This window comes from Homo sapiens, chromosome 14, assembly GCF_000001405.40.
Source record: "Homo sapiens chromosome 14, GRCh38.p14 Primary Assembly".
Classification (NCBI taxonomy): Eukaryota; Metazoa; Chordata; class Mammalia; order Primates; family Hominidae; genus Homo; species Homo sapiens.
In genome coordinates, this window is record NC_000014.9 from 26,442,639 (window position 1) to 26,469,073 (window position 26,435).

General features: G+C 33.7%; 1 protein-coding gene across 12 annotated transcripts in view; it reads right to left on the minus strand.

Annotated features, from left to right (window-relative positions):
• Positions 1-451: 451 nt before the first annotated feature.
• Positions 452-26,435, minus strand: part of NOVA1 (NOVA alternative splicing regulator 1) — a 154,944-nt gene continuing 128,960 nt past the window's right edge. For all 12 annotated transcript variants that reach the window (NM_001366392.2, NM_006489.3, NM_002515.3 and 9 more), the window contains one exon: positions 452-6,325. In NM_001366392.2, coding sequence (NP_001353321.1) covers positions 5,321-6,325 — 1,005 coding nt within the window. In that variant the 3' untranslated portion in view covers positions 452-5,320. The remainder of the gene's footprint in view (positions 6,326-26,435) is intronic.

Sequence of the window (26,435 nt, forward strand, 5' to 3'; positions counted from 1 at the left end):
CGCATAAATGACATTAGAGAAGACTGAGGAGGCACCATGGTTCAGAAAAGTCTATATTCCTTCATGGATACATGTAAAGAAACTGATTAACTGCATCAAATAATCTTTTGATTATCAACTGTTTGAACACATGATTTCACTTAATTTGCTCTTTCATTTGGTACCGAGTTAAAGCAAATGCAAACTGGTCCTTTGTTTTGGGCAGTGGCTAAATTCATGAAATTTGGGTTGGGGGAGAAGTGTTGTTTTTTCATAAAAATTCTTCAATCATTTCATAGAGGTAAACATACTTAAATGCTAAATACCTGACCTTTTTGAATAAATGCAGACCTACCTTGATTTCCACAATAAGCCTCTATTCATTTCCATGAGACAATGTTTTCACAAAATGTAAGGCAAAACAGGTGTTAAATTACTTAAGAGAACTCATAATTTAAATAATTAAAACTAATTTGTGTTTAAAGCTATTTGCAGATTTATTAGAGAAACAAATACAAATATGCATTTCTACAGAACTGTTTTAATTTTCCAAAATGAGCTTAAAACGTGTTCCACAGTTTTTGCTTGTTTATATATCTATGGTAACCCAAGTATTGGCTTCTGTACCACTTTGTAATGAGACAATTGCCTTTCCATTGCAATTATAAAAAACTATTTAAAAAAAATTCGGCACATACACGTTAAATATTTTTCCTTAAAAAAATAATCTAATCAAAATATTGAATACTTTAGAATTAAACAATATTTTATTTACAAATCTGATTTGATGTACTTTATTATACAAGGTAATGCTTCAATTTTCAAGAACAGTTTTTTTTGTTTATATAGACCAGTGGAATGACATCCTGTCTAGTACTATACCTCAATATTTTTCAAAATTAACATGACAAGTTCTCTAATACTTTCATTTTTTGAAAGAAAAGTTATTTATTTGGGGCACATATCTGATGAAACAAAAAATAACATGCAGATTTCCAAATATAATCTGTTAAAGTAATATGATACTTACCCTTTATGTAAAAAGACATCTATGAACAACAGTGCATAACAATATTATGTATTCATGTTTATGAGAAACCAAGCAGAAGGCAAAATGAGTTCATCCTGTTTTCTAATCATGTGCAATTTTGTATGGCTGTTTGCCTCAGTTAAGTAACGTGTGTACATTAAATTTATGACTGTATTGCACTCAAAATTATTGTGTATAGCCATGCTTGCCCTGTATTTAATGAGTGATGAATATTTCTCCTACTAACAGAGTAACTAGTCTCAAATAGTGCCTGTGATGTAAGGGGTATTAAATTATATTTTCATCTCTCAATTGCTGCCTTCGAAAGCAAGAATTCCCTTCTTGGAGAAGACTTACAGTAAATAAAATTATTAAGTAAATAAACTTTACTTAAGGACTCAGTGAGGAATCAGCATATAAATCAAGACTGAAATATAAGAATGGATTAAAAGGAATATGATTATCAGTACCTTTGTTGAAATCTATTACCACCATTAAAATTTCCAAGGAAACATAGGGCCTGTAACGTAGGGATTCCATTCATTGTTAAATTACTAAAATCTACCAATTTAATGCTTTCATACTGTTTATTTTTTTCCAATAAAAAAATAAATCTCATACATTAGAAGTGGTACACAAAAAACGGGGATAAAATTTATCAGATTCTTGATAGCACCATTTACACATTCTTAAAGTAAACATTAATATGCACTTTCTTAGAAAGCGATATAAATATATAATACAGGACTTGCTAACCTCTGTTAACCATCTGAATGCGATGGAATAATCTATCTCTACTGTGCAGGTAGGCTTGTGCATGGTGGTGTGGCAATATCATTTTAAAAGTTTGTTACAGATGTGATGGGAAGCTGGAAGGAGTCGAATAAGCAGAAAAAAGAGCTTAGATCTATTGTAAGCAATGAGTCGAAATGAGCCGTTACAGGTTAGAATTTATCTTTGTTTCTAATCATTCAATGAGAAAATGACTTCCACAGAAATAGATACATTTAACTGTTTCAGGAGTGGGGTGGGTGAAGTGAAGTAGGATTGAAAGTCCTACAGGTAATAGCAATAACTGGAAGTGCAGACGAAATTGGTCTTCAGTGCAAAGAGGAAGGCAGCCGTTTAAAAAGTCTAGGTGCAATGTTGTGGTGCTGAAAGAAAAGCTCCCAGTGATAAAGAAAAAAACAAAAAAACAAACAAACAAACAAACAAAAAAAAAACAAAAAAACTGCAATGCAACTTCAAGCAGTAATTTTGTGGTGCTGAAAGGACAGCTCCCAGTGTTGAGGAAAAGATCTTGGATCTAGAATGAGGTGTCCAATCTGTATGATAAACAGCACACTGTGTCTCAGAGCGCCCATTCAATCTCAGTAAGTAAATGAAATATTGATTGAAAGTGACCCTGAAACAGAATGCATTAAAAAGACATAGAAAGCTGCAGAACTGAGGTAATTCGTATTCAGCGTGTTCACCAGCCTCCCTATAGCAAAACAAGTCTATAAATAGTTGCATTTCATAAGATGTTTGGCCCTTGTATCATCAGTTTTCTCCATTTTGGATCAGTACAGCTGAACAGCCATTGTTACATGCCTACCTGTGGCAGTTTGAAGCCATACTAATTTTCTTGCAATAAATTAAAGCATCACATCACAAATCAATTCTACATGGTCTATAAATTTCAGAGAATAAATTTTTAAACAGCATGAAGCTGATTTACACATAATGCATACAAACCCTTATCTGTCACCATAAATTAAAATGTAATATCTTCAATTTAGCTTTCAGTTTTAACTAACATATAACCATGCTAACTAGGAAAAGTTTAAAATTCCCATTTACAATTAAAATTGAACTAAGTGCATTTTCAGCAACACTAGCTAATAAAACACACATAATTGTTTAAATGGTTTGGCTTCAAAGTAACATTAAATTCCAGATGAAATGCATGGGCTCCACAGTGGACTACTGGAATTTTGAAATAAAAGATCGAAGATTTGCTAAGACTGAACAAAACATTTTAAAGACCCAACATTTGAAATGCTTCTAGTACACATCCTAGATCACTTCCTTTCCCTTTTTCAAACTAAGTGGGGCCCCAATCTTTGCCTTTGTTCACTGCTGACTCTGAGACAGCATGGTGAAAGAAATTTACATAGATATTATTTACTGTTAATGTATTATAAATGATCTGAGACTTGTGACATGCAAGGAAAAAATGAGACGGGAGACAAGTGATGCTACATGATGAACTAAGCACATTTATAATGATAAAATGAGTAAATATAATAGCGGCAATGCTAACCACTGATTCCACGAGATACACTATTTGTCAAAACTTACACAGCTACAGAGTATCGACGATAAATAGTCATTACCAATTAACACAGTTTACTACAGCTTTTCTCTTTCATTTAAACAAGCATATCATTCCCTTTTAAAATCATTCTCTAAATAAATATTTAGAGATAGAGAACTCTAAATGAAATAACAGTCCAATGTTAAAAACTAAAAAAAAAAAAATGAGTCTACTCTTACAGTTTGACAGAAATGAATTATTAATAGTGGAAGGGGAAGGGATCAGGAAATAATTTCAAGTTCTCAATGTCCAAAAGTAAATTGCACAGTAAATCAATATGAAATGAAGAGTCCATATAGTTCAATGAACAAAAGGGAAAGTTCATGAGGACAAAGATCACAGTTCAGAGAGAGGCTGGACGAAATTCAGACATGGAGCATCACACTCATTGTTCTTTAATTGGTTGCACAGAAAGGAGCAGCTGGGATGCCATTTAGCTTGCTAGGATGGACGTAATCAATGGGTTGAAGTTGAGATGGAAGTAATTCTCTTTTGTAATTCAGTTGCTCAGCCAGATGATCCAGAGGTAGCCAGCATTTTATTTTTGTCCATTGAATTTAAGACTGCATGCACAGCATGAGGAGGTGCTTGGGGATGGATGCCCCTATGAGTGGCCTTGAGTGGGCAAACTCAGAGGTTAACAGATGGTGTGTCAAATGGCCTGGACAGTTGGCACTCAGGAGAGGTACAGAAGAGGGTGACAGTTGTTGGGTCTTGGGAACAAAGGCTTACTCTGAAATGACCTGTCAAAAAGCCTGACAAAGGTAGATAACACTACCTCTCAAGATAAGCTGCCTCTTCTAAATAAGCATGCAGGAAATACTGTCTGGTTGGTGACATAAAAATGCTCCACAAAACATGCAAATTACCGAGTATTAGAAACTGCATTGGCTGCTAGCGCCATGCTGCAAAGACTCCATCATGGGAGCAAACAGCTAAATCACAGATAGCTTCACAGTAAAATCTACATTCACAATACTAATAGGTTTCTAGTGTTAACAAATTATACACAATTATAAGCTCTTAAAATGCAACATACTTATCAAGCAGTTGCAGATAATGAAACATTATCAGCTATCAATAATTTGTTGGCACTTTCACTTTTGTTTATAAAATTTCCAATACACTGTACCACAGTTATGTGTCTAAACAGTGAGGATGTTAATGGAGTAATGACTGTTCTACTGGCCAGGCGATGGGATCAGTAGTGAATTCAGTGCTTAAAAACAAATGTACAAACCTCTGAAGAGGTGGGACTCCATGTGAGAACTTTTGTTGAACTTACAAATGATGAAGAATGGGCCATGGCCAGCATGCAGCATTATTTCCATTGTCTAGTTCAGATGGAGAACAGGTGCTTTTATTGATCTGTAAACTTACCAATATAATTTTCCACAGTTTTAACCTTTTAAATATTTTACAGTGCTTTTATGCAACTATATTGCTTTTTGATCATTTTAAATTTAAAACTTATTTTCAAAATATTGTTTCCTACTTCACTGTGCCCTAAGCAGGAAGTAAGACTTACAGGACAGTGCTTTGGCCTCACTCCATTTTAGGTCACTGACCCCACCATACTCAACCTAACAGTAGTTAATTTAGTGTTATCTAGAACTAATACTGAAAACTATACGCATATCCCTGTCTACATTCAATCATTAAACTACAATAATGCTGGTAAAATGGCAGGCTTAAATCTTACACTAGAAACACCTCTGACAAATATACACAAGCAAAGTATAGAGAACAAAACAGATCAAGAAAAAATTCTTTCTATGAAACATCTGGTAAAACACATATTATTTACATATACACATTGTCAACATAGTCGCATTCATTTGCATAATTATATATTAATAACAGAAAAACTTCACTTCTGCAAAGTACAGTACATCCTTCTTGAAAATGGGGTAAAGGAGGGGTTAAAACAATCTGATGTGTAACTGGGGCACTCAACCCACTTTCTGAGGATTGGCAGCCCGAACTCCTTGCTCATATGTGATCCTTTGTGTAATTAAATATTGAGCAGCCTGTGTTGCAGCTGGTGTTCCAGTAATGGTTACCTTCCGATTCCTTGTGCCAGGTACGAATTCTCCTTTTTTGGAGATCTGTATCCTTGCACCAGTCAACTCCTGGTATTCCACTAATGTTTTCCCTCCTTTGCCAAGTATTGCACCAACTAAGTTTTCTGGCACTGCTATTTCAACTACATCCTTGGATCCATCTGTGGACTTTTCTGTTCCTAGAATGGCACTGGCAGCTAGGGGAGAAGCAGCTCCAAAATATCCATTGGTTGCAGCAGTAGCAGCAGCCAGGCTACCTAATGCAAATGTCCCCGCCGTACCACCAGCTGTGCTGCCACTGGCTGAGGCTTCACTGGCATAGGTGGCCAATAAATTGGCTGCTGCTGCTGCTGGGTTGGCACTGGCAGCTGCTGCAGCCAAAGCCCCTGTTGCTGCTGCTTGACTGAGACCTAAACCTAAAGTGTTGAGATTATATCCATAGCTGGCTAATGTATTAAGTGCAGAGGTGATGGCCACCAGGTCATTGCCTGTGAAGCCAGATAAAACTGCTGGAAAGGCTGCAACGCCAGCAAGGTTAGCATGTCCTAATAGCCCTGCAGCTGCTGCAGCAGTTGGTAACACTTCAGCAGTGTTTGCATAAGGAGATCCGGTTGGATTGGAATTTGCCACTGGACCTGTCACATTGGCATAACTGATATTGAGACAGCTGCCACTTTGTGGATCCTCTTGTATCTTCTGGATGATAAGTTCAACAGCTTTTCGGTTTTGTTCAGGTTCTCCACTCACAGTGACAACCCTCTCTTGCAAGTTGATCCCATCAGGTTTCTGGGAAAGCTGCACCCAAGCCCCTGACTGCTCCATTACAGCCTTCACAGTAGCACCTCCCTTCCCTATTATCAGACCTGCTGTGCTGTTGGGAACTATAATCTTTACCTGTAATTAAAAAAAATACGTATAAATAATACTTCTGTTTTGTGCATATACATTATATTACTTTGCTATCCTAGAAAAGTAAAATAATAAACTGAAAATTAAACATAATTTATGAAACAGAAATATCACAACTTTAAAGTGACTTTTATCACACTTTAATATAACTATCTTGTAAAATTAGAATTTTCAAAGGAAAAACTCAATTTTCAGGTCAAAATTATTAAATAAAATTTTTCCTTGAGTCACTGTGAATTTTGCAACAGAATTTATAAGAAATCAGTATCTTAACAAGAGGGGATCATAACTATACACCAAAGGTAACATTTTTATATAGCTCCAAAAATCACATGCTGTTGATGATTCTTCACCTATTGTAACTTTAAGAAAATGCTTTGTTCTAAAACATTTAAAAAACAAAGAATGCAGAATTAAAAAGCAAAGTTAATAAAGATAACAGTAGGAAAGTTCAAGCCTGAGTCCCTTCAAAACATTAATTTCATGTTCCTTATCACCCAGTAATTTTTTTGTTATTAAAGATAGCTTACTTGTTTCATGACTGTCTTCAGAGATAAAGGTCAGTAAAATTATTAGCATTTTCATTTAAACTCACATATGAAATATAACTTCATAATAGTTATTTCTAAATAATTAATAATTTTTAATTTTTCAATGGCTTGGGGTAGATTAACCCTATTTAAGAATTATATTACCTAGCTGCACTATCTATATTTGTAAAATAATTAGTCTAATTATTCGCTTTTTTGGCTATCATTGCTACATTTTTAAAATTAGGGCTTACTACCATCTTACCAAATGGTACTACCATATTTTCAGAGGATACTGAAAAATTACTGCAGTGACATGAATATTCAATCCAATATGACCACACATAGACATCTTTATTTGTATTGAAACATCCAGCCACAAAAATCAGCATATTTTGACTTAATCACAATAAAAATTATTATAAGAAATATCAAATCAATATGACATTTTCTATCATCCCTAAAATTAAAATGTAAATAGTAACATTTAAAATTATATTATGGAAGCATAATGACACATATGACAATGTTTTATGTCTCACTGGGTAGGTCAAAACTTGTGATTGTTGTGTTACTGACAAAGCACTGAAGTAATTGCTTTCCTTGTTCCAGACATTAAAATGGGCAGGCTAAAAAAAGTGCTAAAATTTGAGCAGGACATTTAGTTGTTTGAGGTATTCTATGAGGGATTTCATTAGCTAATTTTTAGCAAGCATCTCTAATGCTATCTTTCAAACACAAATGTGGATAAGAATATTTTAAAGAAATACAGCCATGCATTTCAGGCAATTTTGTTCTGGAAGGTAGCAAGCAGAGAAAGTATAAATGCAAATTCTAAACCAAGTCACCTCACAAATATATTTACACATATAATACACACACACACACACACACAAACCTCATTTTATTTCCATGCACACAATTTACAGTAATAAAAGAAATTTAATTTTGTTTCATTACAATTTATTAATACAATCATTTCATTTTATGGAAAATAGTCTAAGTTTTCAAGAACTTAGAAAGTTTGAGAAATAGTCTAAGTTTTCTTGGGAATGTTAAACATAAACTTCATATTCCCTGATTAAGTGGATTCAGTTTCAAGAAACAGACCAAGAAGTGTTTTTATAACATTTGTTAGTTTTGCTCACAGACATCTTTTTGTACAAAATTATTTGTCTGAAAAGTTAATGTGTTACAATTAGAAAGTTAAACTATGATTATATACTATACCAATTATAAAGATGAATTACAATCATCTTTATTTTTATCCCATACACATGAAATACTGAGAAAATGCACTTTTAAGGATTTAAGTATCTGAATGTTAAATATGATTGTATTTTTATGGATAAGCAATTCTTTTCAAAATGATAACCTTTTTGTAACACTATTGAAAACATCACGGACTGGCAAACTGCAGTGCTTTAACATATTTTTAATGAAGAAAAATGTATTAATCGGCCAAGACTTTTAAAAGAGCTAGTCTTATGTTATTTTAAATTATAAGTAATCATTTTTGTTTTGTTCAGTGTAATGGTTTCCTGCATGATAACCACAAGAAAAGTACAGAAAAGGATAATTATAGGCTGTTAATAAAAGGTAATGAAATTTTATTATTTTATAACATTCACTCTATGAAATGTGTGAAGATATTAATTTCTACTATATGGCACATCAGTCTCACATTATATATGTTTTTTCACAGTTTTTTTCTTTTTAACTCTAAAACTATTATCTAAAACAACTTGCACATGTGGGCATTGCACTTACATTATTGAACATTAGCCTGTCTTTTTTAACAATAAAAAAACAATATATTTTTCCTTCTTTTCAATACTCAACATTTTATTTTTATTTATTTATTTATTTATTTTTGAGAGACGGAGTCTTGCTCTGTTGCCCAGGCTGGAGCGCAGTGGTGCAATCTCGACTCACTGCAACCTCCGCCTCCCGGGTTCAAGCGATTCTCCTGCCTCAGTTTCGCAAGTAGCTGGGACTACAAGGCATGCGCCACCATGCCCAGATAATTTTTGTATTCTTTTAGTAGAGATGGGGTTTCACCATATGTTGTCCAGGCTGGTCTCAAACTCCTGACCTCAGGTGATCCGCCTGCCTCGGCCACCCAAAATGCTGGGATTACAACCACGCCCGGCCAATACTCAAAAACTTTGAAATAATATATAATTTAAAATAGTGTTAACTTTTAATGACAGTAAACATCTTCCAAAAATATCCATATTTTTGAAAATTGAAGAATTATATGACAATGTCTATCTTTATATTAAAGGTGCTTTTATGTAGTTAATACTCATCTTCTGAATTTTAGTGTTTAACCATTTCAAAGAATCTTAAATAACAAATCTGTCAACCACAATCAATGTTTAATCAAATATTGATGTGGCCCCAAGTTTTGTTGGCAAGATTAAAAAACTAAAGATGTGTTATGACTTAAGACCAGACTTAATGTTTGCATCTTAGTAATTATAATATATAGCATTTTCTAACTTTAGACAATAGGCTATTCTGTGTAAGACTACCAAATTTAGAAAATTAATGGAAACATAAATATAAAAAGTTTCAAAATTTAATAAAAGTAAATACTTAATAGCTTACACAAGGCATTTATCACCCAATTTTTATTTTTGACAAAAGAACATGAGAATCCTCTTTGCCTTACACTGTCTTTTTTCTCTGAATAATTAAAAAATATATCCATACCTATTTGCACACAGTATTAATCTAATATGGGCAGAGAGAAGAAACAGACTCTCTGAAAAGAAGTTGAGACAAAAAACTGAAATTCAGTTAAATAACATTACAAGGACAGTAGTTTTATATTTACATTTTAAGTGTCGGGCCAGAGTTAAGGAAAAGTGAGAGAGAAAAACATGGAAGCTTTGAGATGGTGGACAACTGAATACTGGTGGGAAAAAACAGAGGAGAAGCAAAGAGAATTATGTAAGATAGATTATTTTCTCTTACTTCTTAGATAAAGGCATTTACCAAAGCAAATGTCTGTATACTGATAGTATTTAAATTCCAACTGAAACGACAAATAGCAAATTCTAACTGTATACATGGATTCATTTTCACTGGTGAAGTCTGCTAATGCTCTGGCTGAGAAAAATACACATATTCTTATTTCTAAAGAATCGGGAGAAAAGAACTGATCTTCAACGGCATACCAATTATTTGGTATAACATGTATAAAACTAAGTCAGATATGTTCTTGACAGTTACAAATCAGATTGCCCTTCAGAGTTATGATTATATTTGCTAGCATCTACCTAATCATTTATAAACGCTTACTGAATGGCCCAAGCCCTGTGTTGAAAGCTGGAGATAAAGGATATATATGACATTGTTCCTGCCTTTAAAGAGGTTATAGATAGTTGTAGAAAATGAGTGTGTATCAGTGCAGGAGTCTTAAGGGTGCTGCACAGAAGTATATAAGGTTATAAAGGAGACACAAAGTTTAACTGGAAAAAGAAAGAATAGGTAAGAAAATCCTCTAGAGATGAAGATATTTCCCTAATGGTCTTTACACTCTTTTTTCACAACCAAGTATTTCCATAAATTTGGTCACTATTGTTTCGGTGTTGGACAGTTCCTGTTTCAAATCTAAACCCATTTTAGCAGTGATGAACTGCTTCAATTATGTATGTATGTATGTATGTATGTATGTATGTATGTATGTATGTATTTATTTATTTTTAGAGAGGGGGGTCTCCCTTTGCCACCCAGGCTGGAGTACAGTGACACAATCATAGCTCACTGCAGCCTCGAACTCCTGGGCTGAAGCGATCCACCTGGTTCAGCCTCCTGAGTAGCTGGGATTATAGGTGTGAGCCACTGTACCCAGCTTAATACTACTACTTTTAAATTAAAAGAATCTTTACTTAAACCTTCCTTATTCTAGACTCACAAGTTATTTATCCAAAAAAAGATAAGATTAACAATATAATTATACTAATTATGCTAGCATCAACTGTTATCAGAAAAAAGTAATAAATTTACAATTTCTCTATTTGCAATCACAAAAGAACTTCTATAACAATCCTATGAGTTTTAAAAATACCACATAAACTGATTTTAATATTGATATGTTTCTAATTAAAAACAGACATTAAGATATATTTACTCTTTCAACAAATAAGAACTCCAACTCATGATGGTTTTATGGCTATAAAGGAATGAGACTACCTATAGGCATCATATTTCTTCATTATCATGGCAGAAAAATCATAAACTATTTAATAAAACCACATATTGAAGTAAATGCAAAACAACTTCCATTATAATTTGAGAGCTCCCAATTAATAGTATGAATTATTTTATTTAGGGCTGCCATATTTACTACACACATATGACATTACACTTACAAAGCAATTCCTATCAACAGTGGATACCTGTTATTTTACTCAGTCATTCAGTTGGTATCCAATCATTCTTCTTCTGGCAACAGAGCCCCTGTTTTCCTCTGGAAAACACCCTTTCTCATTCTTAGTGTATGTGCCTCAGATAAGGCTGACAATCTTTCAATATCTCTAGAACAGGGGTGTCCAATTTTTTGGCTTCCCTGGGCCACACTGGAAGAATTGTCTCAAGCTACACATAAAATACACTAATGATAGCTGAAGAACTTTAAAAAATGCAAAGAAAAAAAAAACAGAAAAGTTTTAAGAAAGTTTACGAATTTGTGTTGGGCCACATTCAAAGCCATCCTGGGGCACAGGTTGCACAAGCTTGCTTTAGAAGTAAAAACATGACCCAGGTCTGACCTATTGCTATACTCACACCCATAACCTTTACTGGTTTGGGTTTGAGCACATGACGCAGGATGGCCAAACAAGAGCATGAGAAGTTGGGAAACTTGTCGATAAAGAGATATTTGTGTTTCAAATCTAGTAGAACACCAGCCTGGCATTGCTAGTGGCTATCTTACCACTATTATGAGAAGAGGAAGAACCTGACTGAAAATGAAGTTAACTCAGATAAAAATGAGACTGCATTTTTTGGCATCTGAATCTAACCCTGTCTAAAGCCATCACAGAGGAAATACAACTCCCTTTTTTGCTTAAAGAAATTTGAATTGAATTATGATAATTTCTATAATTTTGAGGGCTTCTATAATTTGTAACTGACCAAAAAGTACCTTTGAAAATATTTTTACATTCTTTTTATATCATGCATTATTTGCCTATCAAAATACTGACATTTCATTTTATCTCTTAAACTTAATAGTCAAGATATCATAGTTCTGGTAAGGAAAGACATGTAGATTAATTTACTTTTTACCATGATATACACTATATAATCTAACCAGAAAAATGCCTTTTATTTTCCCAATGTATTACAATTTAGGATACTGAGGCTCCACTTAGTAGCATCCAGTGGAGATACATGTGCCATTTTGGGGAATCTACATTGAATTGTTGAACAAAGCAAATTGAAAAATGGTATCCTTTCGATTACAGACTTCAAATAAATAAAAATCTGCCTGTGTGAATGACTGATTTGATAAAATATGTACAACAGATTTACATGAATAGAAGTATCCAAAAGAATTTAAAAAGCAGTTCTTCCAACTTCCACTAGTTTGTTTAATCTACTTTTGATAACCAAATCCAAGGCAGAACAGTTTTCATAGCATTGTCTAATATCTCTCATAAAATACCATGCCACCTTGTCTCATGTATTTTTACCTTTCACCCATTGCTCACTCAGATTTTAAACCTAGGAGCTATCTGTGACTTCTCCTGCTCCCTACATCTATATGTTCTATTATGTGCTGTTCTCCAGTCTTACTACTTTATCCTATCTAAAGCATAGTGTAGTATAATACAAATATAGAATTGGCCATTAATAGATACGTGGTCTTACCCTGGCTCTGCTATGTGACCTTTCTCAAATGACTTTAGTTTCATCATCTATAAAATCAGGCAACTTAGTGAGACTGAGGATAAGGAGTCTTTATTTTAGCATTATGAGAAAATTCTGTTCAAAATTCTTCAATGAACCCTTCCTTCAACTCCCCACTGAATTACCCAGACAATTTTCTAAAGACAAAATTTAACTTACTTATTTTTCCATTTAACACATTATTTCACTTTGCTCCTGAAACATTATTCAAAATTTAAAGATATACAACACTATATCCCAGGGAGGGATATAACTTAGGAATAAGAAAAATAGAAAAAAAAAATCTATGCTTTCTAGGTGAAGGAGGAACAGAAGAGAAGCACTTCAAACTATTCCTGTTGAGATGATGAGCACTCTAGACATAATTACTTCACAAAAGAAAACTACTAGAAGTTAAATAACTATGAAAAAACTATGAAGGTCATATAATAATAAACTATTGCAGGAAAGCCCATTATTTAAAAATGAAAATAATTTGGGGTATTGTCTTCTTAATGCTTACTAAACCAGATTTTACTAAATTGAGGTTATACTGATGAAAGGCTTATAAGCCTTCATCATCCATGTGTCAAGTTAACAAAAAGCTCTTTGAAATCATTATTATTTTAAATCACCTCTTTTTAGCCCAGCTCTTTCAGGGCACATATAGTAAGACATATGTTCAGAGTTCTTAATTTTGATTAGCAAAAAATGTATTCAACATATTTGAATATTTGAAATGAAAACTAATGTTTTCAATTTAATGTTGTAAATTAAACATTAAAATTAAAAAGTAAAAAATACCTACGAAGATAAACATAGGGCTGTGTTCATTGAAGTAGATGGTGGAAAAGGGGTGAAAGATGAAGATGGAAGAATTTCTATTTTATCCATTTTAAGCTTAAAATGCCTATCAGTCATCCAAGTGAAGATGCCAAATAAGTGGCTGATTATGGGTCTGGAGGCCAGGGGAAACGTGGGAGTTAACATACAAATTGTATTTAAAGTCACAGGAAGAGATGAAATTATTTAGGGGGAAGTAAAAGTGAAGCAAATTGTTAAATAATGAAAATTAAAGAATTAAGTATGAAAATATTTAATTTCTAAAATGGTGAAAGATATTCAAGGTAGAGCAGCAAAACTGATCATCAAGTAAAAAATAAACCAAATATAAATCAGGGAGGGGGTAAACTATTATCTTTTTCTTTTTTAAAACATTGGTGTCCGTATATATTGTCTTTTGCAAATCATATTGTAGTATTCATCAAATTTTGAAATGGGTATCATCTTTCACTTTGTTTCTGTCCTTATGCAATTCTTCTGGGGAAATTTCCAAAACAGAGGACATTGTACAATGTATTAGTACACTGTACAATGAACACTAGTACACTGCATAATGTATTAGTGTTTTAAGGTAAGTGTTTATAAGTCAAAACACTAAATGTCATATACAAAGGACAGTATGCAGGCACTACACTATATGAAATTATAAAATGATGTAGAAAATAGCAATGCAAAGTTGAATGTATATATATACACACACACACAAATATATACACACACACACACATATATATATATGTAGTTTGGGTTAAATAATGTAAAAGTATATAATTATATTCAGGTAAAACAGAAAGGGAGGAATAGAGATTGCATTTCAGATGAGCTTTTTTCTCTTACCATATACACTTTGTCTTATTTTTTAAAAGCAGTGTAACAAAAGGAAATGGAACAATTGTCCAAAATTAGGCTGCAGAATAAATGAATCCTCCAAAAGTAGAACAATTAAAAAATAATTTTGGCACATTTCTGGAATTTATTGCACAATTATTTATTGAGTGGCTACTACGTGCCAGGTATAATTCCAAATGTTGGGGATGTAGGGGTAAATAAAAAGGATAAGATCTCTGTTTTCATAGGTTTTACAGTCCAGTGGTATAATAAAAATAACAAAATATTTAAATGTATACACAGTCATGCACCAAATAACAAAGTTTGGTTCAACCACAGACCATGTATTCAATGGTGATCTTACAGGATTATAATGGAGCTGAAAAATTTCTGTCACCTAGCGACATTGTAACCGTTGTTAATGTCCTATCACAAGGCATTTCTCATATGTTTGTGGTGATGCTGGTGTAAACAAACCTACTGCTCTGCTAGTTGTACACAAAGTATTGCACATACAATTGTGTACAGTACATAAAACCTGATAATGATGATAAATGACTGTTACTGGCTTATATATTTACTACACTATACTTCTTATCATTATTCTAGACTGTACTCCATTTACTTATTAAAAAAGAAAAGTTAAAGATAACACAGCCTCAGGCAGGTCCTTCAGGAAGTAATCCAGAAGAACACATTGTCATCACAGGAGAGGATAGCTCCATGTGTATTAGTGCCCCCAAAGATCTTTCAGTAGGACAAGATGTGGACAGGGAAGACAGTGGCACTGATGATACCATCCCTGTATAGGAGTAGGCTAATGTGTGTCTTAGTTTTTGTGTCTTAGCTTTTAATTAAAAAGTTTTAAAACTAAAACAAAATGAAAAGAAACTAAATAGAAAAAAAGCAACAAACAACCCCATTAAAAATGGGCAAAGGACATGAACAGACATGCCTCAAAAGAAGACATACATGTGGCCAACATACATATGAAAAAATGTTCAACATCACTAATCGTTAGAGAAATGCAAATCAAATCCACAATGAGATATCATCTGACACCACTCAGAATGGTTATTAAAAAGCCAGAAAATTACAGATATTGGAGAGGTTACAGAGAAAAGGGAACATTTATATATTACTGGTGGGAATGTAAATTAGTTCAGCCACTGTGGAAAGCAGTGTGGAGATTTCTCAAAGAACTTAAAACAGAGCTACTATTTGACCCAGCAATCTCACCACTGGGTATATATATACAAAGGAAAATAAATCACTTTACATAAAAGACACATGTACTAGTATGTTCATCACAACACTATTCAAAATAGCAAAGACATGGGATCAACCTATATGCCCATCAATGGTGGACTGGATAAGTAAAATGTGGTATATATACACTATGGAATACTATACAGTTGTAAAAAGGAAGAAAATTATGTCCATTGCAGCAACATGGATGTAGCTGGAGGCCAAATTAATGCAGAAACAGAAAGCCAAATACTGCTTGTTCTCCCTTATGAGAGGGAACTAAACACTGAGTAAACATGGACATAAAGATGGCAACAATAGACACTGGGACTCCCAGAAGGGAGAGGTTGGGAGGGGGAATGGGTTGAAAAACTACCTATCGGGCACTATGCTCACTATTTGGGATCATTCATACACCAAACCTCAACGACATGCAAATTACCCATGCAAAAAACCTGTACACATACCCCCAAATCTAAAATAAATGCTGAAAGGAAACAAAATTAAGAAAACAGTGTACAGAATAAGGAAAAAGAACATATTTTTGGACAACATGTTAGTGTTTTAAGCTAAGTGTTTAGAAGTCAAAAGAGCCAAAAAGTAAAAACATTAAAAAATATACGAAGCAAAAAGTTATACTAACCTAAGGCTAATTATTAAAGAAAGTTTATTTTTATACAATTAGTGTGCCCTAAGTGTACAGTGTTGATAAAGTCTACAGCAGTGTACAGTAATGTCCCAGACCTTCACATTCACTCACTACTGAATCACTGACTCACCCAGAGCAATTTCCAGCTCTGGGTGAATGAACAGAATTCAGCAAATTCTATTCATGGTTAGTTCCCTATACAGGAGTATATTATATTATATTACATGTTATACACGTATCATATATACAGGAGTATCATTTTTTATCTTTTATTCTGTATTTTTAATACTTTTAATGTGCTTTTTGTTTTGATACATTTAGATATACAAATAGTTAACATTGTGTTACAACTGCCTACAGTATTTAGTAAGGTAACATGCTGTACAGATTTGTAACTTAGAAGCAATAGGTTACACCAAGGGCCTAGGTGTGTATTAGGCTATACCTTCCAGGTTTGTGTAAGTACATTCCATGATGTATGCACAATGACAGAAACACCTAATGCTGCATTTTTCTGAATATATTCCCATCATTAAGCAAATGACTGTAAAATATGCATGACTGTAAATAGTGAGTTGATAAATGACAGAAAAGAACATTTAGAAAATATTTTAAAATTTTTAAGTAGGAAAATTCAAAATCATAGTTTTAAATGAAAATCATGCATTTAACCTGAATGCCCATTTATAAAAAACACTTTATGTAAGAAAATAAAGTTAATCTAGGAATAAAGAACTTTTTAAAATTTTGAGTTGTTTATGGATTAATACTCTATGACATAACCAAACTAAGTAACATTGGAAGTAAATGTCTCAACTATGTTTGAAAATCCATCTCCATTTAAACTTATGTAACTAGGGAATTAAGTTATAAGGAAAACTTTCACAATTTGGATTTTTATTGTACCTTTATACATTTTTTATTGTCATTTTTACCATTAAAATTAAATATTATTAGTTAAAAGTCTGATGTGCCATATTTTTGAAATGATTTATTAAATTGTAGTTGCTTATGGGTATTTTATATTTACTGATTAGGTGAATTATATATTTCTTATTATTTTAATTTCACCAACAGTTTTCCTAAAGGCAATACTTATTTTAAAAAATAAGTTCCCTCTCATTAGGGAGAACAAGCAGTATTTGGCTTTCTGTTTCTGCATTAATTTGGCCTCCAGCTACATCCATTTTAAAAAATAAAATAAAGATATTTCAGTATCTTACTAGTAATGGGAGGTTGATTATTTACTATCCCAAATGACTGTCATTAAGAAAATGAAAATGTTATACATTAGTATTTCATTAATACTTGACATAAATAACCATATAAACATTAACATTTAAAAGATTACTGAAACACATCTGCCATTTAACAAACTGTACTATTAGTCACAAAACTATATTCTTTTCATATATATGGGTGAAATAGTTCATTTATAATATTTCATAAATCATATATAAAATATACTAATTTTTAAACTTCTGTTACTTGGCTAAAAGCAATTTGAAGCCAGGTAATAAAAAGGAACGTTTTCTTTTTCAAAAATATTTTTAAAGAGTAATTGAATAAGAAATATGAGCTAAACCAAACACCAATAAAATGAATTATATGGCATTAGGTTCAGAATAAACAAAAATGATCAATTTATTGTCTCCGGAAAAATTCAATGATAAAAAATTAGAAAAACTAATAACCAAAAAGGGCAATTATAGATTTCTGAGGTCAAAACAAGGAAAAACACTTTTTTTAATTCCAAAACGAGAAGGTATCAAACTCCCCAGTTTTGCAAAATTACTTTTATCTGAGAGAATAATGTGAAGACATTCATGTATCTAAGCATTCTTTAAAAAAATTAAAATGTTTAAAATAAACTTGATAACTATCCAATTCTACTATTTTAGATATTTTCAATTTTATATGGCTTTGCTTGAAAAATGAAAAATTCTATTGAACTGTATACACACACACACAAAGCAAGAAGATAACTACACATTGTGGAATAAGGAGACATTAAGTGGTTTGGTTATATAAAGGCATGCATAATGTTCTGTCTTGAGAACATGTTGTGTGCAAGAATTACTGCAGCTATGGCTGCAGGGAAAACTTTGATGAAACAGAGAAACCACCTTTGCCTACCAAGTGGTCCAGAGAATCTTGCAAATCTACCTAGTATGAGCCAATACTAGACACAGGATTCTATGCATTTTACCAATGCCTGAGCCATATATGGGATGTAAAAAAAGGAATGTTACAGAGCGACTATTTCATTAACTCTTTCCCCTGATGTGTACCACTTTCTTCAATCTTAAAGTCTTAGGCGTTTCATAAACTTAAAAACGTCTTCATATAAAATCACACATTTAAAAGGGATTTTGGGAGGTCACATAACCTGATATTTACCAAATATTGTGTTAAAATACTAACCTGAAAACATTACTGGTGTGCTGCTTTCAGTGGTATTTTAAATAGCTTCACCACATACTATTTAACTTGCCCTAAGGGAGATCCGATTCCCGTCACTGGTGTGGATAATAGACTACCTACACTACAGCACACTAGCAAACTCAGAAGTCTGCAATGGAATGAGTATGGGCAGGAAGCACTTATTTAATCATATCCATAATTTTTGGCAAGAATATTGCTAAACGACCTTAAAAACTCCTAATGTAGGCTGGGCTTGGTGGCTCATGCCTGTAATCCGAGCACTTTGGGAGGCTGAGGCGGGCAGATCACCTGAGGTCGAGAGTTCAAGACCAGCCTGACCAACATGGAGAAAGCCCATCTTTACTAAAAAAAAAAAAAAAAAAAATTTGCCAGGCATGCATGGTGGCTCATGCCTGTCATCCCAGCTACTCAGGAGGCTGAGGCAGGAGAATCTCTTGAACCTGGGAGTGGGAGGTTCAGGTGAGCCGAGATCGCATCATTGCACTCCAGCCTGGGCAACAAGAGTGAAACTCCGTCTCAAAAAACAAAAACAAAAACATCCCACAAAACTCCTAATGTAATCTGCATATAAAAATCTCTAAGAGAACCTCTAACTGTATTTAATAATAGTCAAAAGTATTAAGCTAAGGTAAATTTATTATTGACAAAAAGATTTTTTTTTTGTAAATTCAGTGTGCCCTAAGCGTATAGTGTTTATAGTCTACAGCAGTATACAATAACGTCCCAGGCCTTCACATTCACTAATTATATCTAAAAGGATAATCATCCTTTGTATAATAACCCTTCATAGATTTAAGTTGTATTAATTAGTAAACACCAACTATTCTCAATGCTGAAACTAATACCTACCCTTCAACTTTTGTACAAATTTAGTATTTTTCAAATCACAAAGTATGTATATTGTTTCATGGTAAAGTCTCAATGAATTAACACTTGAAAAAAAAGAGACAGTGTCATATAGTACACAATTATCAATTTATTATAAACTAATGTGCTCTTATCATGTGATAGTGTTTCTCAAACATTTCAAGAGGCGTCATGAAATATTTTATCCGACTGTTCAAATATAGATGCAAAATCTCATAATAGGTCTATTAATTAAGAATCTACATAGGTAATTTTGATATAAAGCTAGAGTTGAGTATTTTTCATGTTTTAACTCAAAAGGATAAATAAAAATATTACATATGTTACACAATCATTTAATTCGGCATAACTTTAAAATATGAAGCAATTGCCACTCCCTTTGCCAGTCAGTAAGTGCTTCCTCTAGGCCTGAAGCCTCTCCCCAGTGAGTCTTCTTGACCTCAATAAAGCATCAAAAAAGTAGGAAATCAAGACGCCAAGTAGCTTTAAAGCATATGTAATGTCAAAGACAACCAATTTTCCACTTGGGAAATTACCTTCTTTCCCTTAAAACATTGCATATACCACAACTGAAATAAGGATTTGTTTTCCATTATCTTTTGTATCCTCTGTTATATTTTAAAAACAAAGTAGAGATATAAGAAGGGAAATGTAGTGATTTTCATATTCCTTGTCATCACTCTAATAATACATGAACAAAGTTCTTTGACTATTAAAGATAGGGCCAAATGTTTCTTAGCAACTTAATTTTCTTCATATTGTATGACAATATTCTAGGCTAGTTTATGCAGATCTAACTCAGCATTTTAAATAGCTTCACCAGATACTATTCTGCAATATCAGAATTTATTTAATCACTCTCCTGTGATTAAGGGTGAAATTGGTTTCCAACTTTTATCATACATACGTTCTTTTATTTGTTTCTAAGTATTGGTGCAGTAAGTTTTACAGGATAGATCTCAAAAGCTGTAATGTAGCATTTCTTGTATCAACATTGTATGAGCATGTTTATTTCTTGTATCTTTGCCAGCACTTTAGATTTATAAACACACACACGTCTTGAATTTCTGATATGTGTATTATACACAAACATAAAGTTTTGTCTATCTGATATAAAGTAGTGCAACTGTGTGATGTTGATTCCAATTTCCCTGATGACTGGTGAGTTAAACATGTTTTTATATCTGTATTGGACATTTCCACTCCCTCCTCTGTAAATTGTCTTTTCATTTTTATATTGGGTTTTCATATGAACCTAGGAGTTCTTTGTATAGCCGTGATACGAATTAACTGTCATGTGTTCAAGATATTTTTTCCAAATGTACTGTTTTCTTTTGCTTATTAATGGCATATTCTGCTATACCAAAAATAATAAATGTTTATATACTCAAATCTGGTAACTTTTTATGTTTTGGATTTCTTCCTTGCTTAAGTCATCCTTGATTTCGTACACCATAATTTCAAATAGTCTTACAGTTTCAATCTTGAATGCATTGGGATTTATTTCTGCATATCGTCTGAGGTGGAAATTTATTTTCTTTCAGGTGGACAGTCAATATACCAGCACCATTCATAAAATAAAACATCCTTTTTAATAATGAATTAAAATTACACTTATACATTACTCTGGACCAGGCAGTGTTCTAAATACTTCTCATGTATTTGTTCATTTAAAAGTCATGACAACTCTGCGAGGTAGGTAGTCACATTTTACAATGAGAAAACACGCATGGCAAAATAAAAAAATGTGGCCTCACACATTATAAAATTCGGATGTAACAAAGATTTGATTGGAAGCCAGGTATTATGGCTCAAGACCACAGTTCTCCAAATCCCTAGATCACACTTTTTCTTTATCATACATTAAGTTCCCATATATAGTCATGTGCTGCATTGTGACATTTTCATCAATGACAGGCCACATATATGGTGGTCCCATGAGATTATAATGGAGCTGCAAAGTTCCTACTGCCTAGTGATGTAGCAGCCAAAGCATTACCTTTTCTGTTTAGATATCTTTAGATATACAAATACCACTGTTACAGTTGCCTGCAGCATTCAGTACAGTAACATGCTGTATAGGTTTGTAGCCTAGGAGCAACAGGTTGTGTATTGTAATGGGCTATACCATCTAGGTTCATGTAAATACACTCTATGATGTTCACACAACAATATCGTTTAGGATACTTTTCTCAGAACATATCCGTGATACATGACCTTACTTGGATCTATTTCAGAAATATCTATTTACTTCATTTACCAATTGCATCTATTTGTACGCCACTTTTATTGTGACACATTTATAGTAAATTTTAATGCTGGCTGATCTCAATATTACTAGTTTCTTGATATTTCTTTTATTAGCTGATTGATGGTAATTATCAGGGATTTGTTTCTATATGAATATTAAAATCATTTTACCTCAGAAACCAGAAAAATGGGAATATGATGAAAATTGTAATATATTTATATTTTAATTTAAAAAGGATTGATATTCCTATATTAAATCTTCCCCACGAAAATTATAGTAAGTCTATCCATTAAGGGAGTGTTTCAGGCCTTTATATAAAAATTGTATATTACTTAATATGAATTCAGTGTTTTTGGTTCAATTTATTCCTAAGAATGTTTGCAATTTTGATATGTATATGATACATACTAGGTTGAGCCACAGGAAATTACAATCAAATATCAGCAATTTCATAACTCTCATCCTAGTGATAAGCAAAACACATAAAATCTAATAGACATAACAAAATAAATAAGTTCATTAAAAAATGGATGTCACGATATTTCTAGGACCTTCTTATATATTTCTGATGAACATTATCTTGATATCACACAAACACAATACACTACTCACACATATGCTGAAAGAAATACAAATTAATTTTTCTTTTTTTGAGATGGAGTCTTGCTCTGTTGCCCAGGCTGGAGTGCAATGGCGTGATCTCAGCTCACTGGAACCTCCGCCTCCCGGGTTCAAGCAATTCTCCTCCCTCAGCCTCCTGAGCAGCTGGGATTAAAGGCGTGCACCACCACACCCAGCTAATTTTTGTATTTTTAGTAGAAGGTTTCACCATGTTGGCCAGGCTGGTCTTGAACTCCTGACTTCAAGTGATCCACTCGCCTCGGCCTCCCAAAGTGCTGGGATTACAGGCGTGAGCCACTGCACCCGGCCCTAATTTTTATATTTTGTTGGAGAATTATGATAATATTCGTATTTGAGACAAGTGCCCAGCTGGTTTTCAAATTGTGCTCTGAATACTGTAAGGCATAAAATAGACATCAAGCCAAGAAGGCTATGTTCTTTTAGCTTAATCTCTTCATTCAACTATAAGTATTCTTTTCTAGTTGGTTTATATTGTTAGAGAGAATTCTATGCAAAATTTCATTTCAAATATTGTAAAAAAAAAGAATTTTAGAGCATATAGACTTGTAAGCCTATTCTTTCAACTAACGCTAGTCATTCAACAAATATTTACTGAGGACCTATTATGCTCCAGGCTAGTGCTTCACATACATCAGAGAATAAAACAGAAAAAAACCCTATCCTCATGCAATTTACTTTACTCAGAGAGTAAGAAACACAATACACAATACACATGATAATAAGCCAAGTATACAGTATTCATGAGGCAATGGAAAAAAGCTTAAAAAACAGCACGATAAAGGGAATCAGGAGTACAGGGGGGGAAGGGGGAGGCCAGGTTGCCATATAAGGAGGTCAGGTAAGCCTTATGGAGAAGGTGAATTTTGAATAGACTAGAAAGCGATGAAGATGTTAGCCAAGCAGATCTCTATGGTAAGAGAATTTCATGCAGAGAAAAGCAAGAGAAAAATACTGAGGTGAGGGTATGCCTGATGTCTGCAAGGGGCAACAAATGTCAATGTGGTTGGGCCAACATGAGTGAGGAGGCCAGTGGCAGGAAATAAAGAGATTATGTGGCAAAGGCCTTTTCTTATAAGTTAACTAAGGCCATTTTTGACATGTTGGCTTTTACTCAGCGAAACGGTAAACTATTTCAGGTGGCAGCAAAGAAATAAAAAACTGAGTTATTTTAAAAGGAACAGGTTAGGGGTAGTTTTTGGACTTACTGTATTTAAGATGTCAATTAGGTATGTAAGTGGAAAGCCTGAGTGGGGAACTGGACATAGTCTGGAGTTTTACTGTGAGAACTGGACCAGAGATAAAGGTGAACACAAGTTATGTGGGGCCTGAAGCATATACAATTTTAGAGGACATCTTTGGGAAAACAAAATTTAAAATTGTGAACATAAAATTAGGTAATAATTCTGCACATGTGAGGAATAATAAAGATTAAGCTTCTTTAGTTCATGGTTGCTATGGTTAAAATGTTTTTGTCCATTCCAAAATTCATGTGTTGGAAACTTAATCCTCAATGCAACAGTTTTGGGAGGTGGGGCCTTTTGGGAGGTGTTTAATTCATGAGGACTTGATTAATAACACTACAAAATGAGCTTTCAGGAGTTGAGTTTTCTCTCTTCTCCTCTTCTGCCATGTAGGAACACAGCATTCATCCCCATTTTGTACTTCTGTCTTCTGCGATTTCAAGACACAGCAAGAAAGCCCTCATCAGATGCCAGTGCCTTGATCTTGGACTTCCCAGCCTTCAGAGCTGTGAGAAAAAATGTTCTGTTCTTTATAAATTACCATCACAGGTATTCTGTTACAGCAGCACAAAATGGACCAAAATGGACTAAGATAACAGTACATTTGTCCCACAGTGGAGACACAAATTTCACAGATGTCAGCATATAAAAGCCAAGGTAATGGAGAAAGAAGACTCAGAAGAATTCCCAAGTATTGAGACCTGGAGCACTTCACCATTAAGTAGATAAAAATAAGAGAATAAACTAGCAAAGGATTCTGAGAAGAAGCAAAATGGAACCAGGCAGGAGGAAAATCAAACGTGGGTAGTATCCTGGAAGCCAAGTAAACAAAGTATGCCAAGGAGGTGGAAGTGATAAATTTTAACAAATACTGTTGGTAGATAAAGTAATATGTAGACTAAGAACAGACTACTGGAATTAGCAAAGTGCTCATCATTGATGTCCTTGGCAAAGAGTTTTGGTGGAATGGCGGAGGCAAAAATTTGACTGAAGTGGATTTAAGAATGGGAATACAGACACTGGGAAATAGAGAGTAGAGATAATACTTTGTAAGTTTTACTACAAAGGAGTAGAAGAAATAGGGCATTAGCTGGTGGGGGAAGTGACATTAAGAAAGTTTTGTTTGGTTTTCTAAGATGAGAGAAAAAACAGTTGCACACTGATGGGAATGATTCTGTAGAGAGCAAAAACTTGACAGAAAAAGGAGAGAGAAGGTAGAATTGCTGCAGGAATGTTCTTGAGTAAAGGAAGAATGAAGTTTAATGGACAACTGAAATGAATGGTTTTAGACAAGAGCAGGGAAAATTTACCTATAGTAATTGATGAGAAGGCAGACTATGTGGGTACAAATGCTGCTTCATTAAGTATGTGTTGGTATGAGTTTGTGGAAGTTACTTTTGATTGCTTCAATCTTCTCAGTGAAGTAGGAAAGGAAGTAAGGTCATTAGCCGGGAGAGAATAAGAAGCAAGAAACATTGTGGGGGTTGTGGTAGGGACAATTCTTTGAAAACTTCCATGATCTCTACCCACTGGTGTTACAACCTGTACAATCTTCTCCCCTTGAGTGTGAGTGGGACACATGACTTACTTCTCACTACAAGAATATGGCAAAAGTGATGCAATGTCATTAGCATGATTAAATTATGTTGTAGGGTAGAGGTGGTGAGAACGTTACTCCTGTGATTTGGTTCAATATATAAGACTCCATTTTTGCTGGCACACAATGTGGAGAGATTCTCCTACTGGCCTTGCAAGAAGCAAACAGCCAAGTTTTGAAGGTCCTGTGGAGAGGGACGTGTGGCAGGCAACTGTGGGTGGCCTCTAGAATCTGAGAGTTGCCTGTAGCCAATAGCCAGTTATAAGTTGTGGCCCTCAGTCAAACAGGTTAAAAAAAAAAAAAACCCTCACAAAAATTGAATGCTGCCAACAACCTGGATGAACAGGGACGCATATTAGTCAAACCTACAGGTGAGAATGCAGCCCAGCCAACACTGATTGCAGCCCTGTGAGGTCACAAGCAAAGGGCTCAGCCTGCCTGGCTTAAGTCATGCATGGGCTCTTGACCTACAGAAATTATAAGAAAATAAATGTGTGTTGCTTAAGCCACTAAGTTTGTGGTAATTTGTTATACAGCAATAGAAAACTAATACAGGATTGAAAAGAGAGGAGAGGTTGTGAAATAGTCATCTAGAGAATAAGAGAATAAGAAAGTCAATGAGCTTACAAATGACAGAATTAAGAATCCATTTGTGACTTGTGGTCATGAATTTAAAGTGAGACCAATTATTTTTATTTTTATTTTTCTGCAACCATAGTAAGGGTACTATATATGAGCTACCTATTTTCATGTGTTTTATACAATTTGATAAATGCTTATAATTTCAAACTTATCAGTAAATAAACAAATGTTTATAAACACATATTTCTGAAATCATTCTTTTATTCTTTTCATGAAATTTCAGAAAAATTCCAGGAGAGCTAACAAGGACTAAGGTTAAAACCAAAATTTAATTTTTGGTACCACTGATTAACAAAACCATTTTGTTGAATCTTAATGGAGTGACTGAGTAACTTAGTATTAATAACTTAGAACTGATTGAACGCTACTGATTCTGTTTAAGTTTTATTTGAAAGTTAAAACATGTTGCTT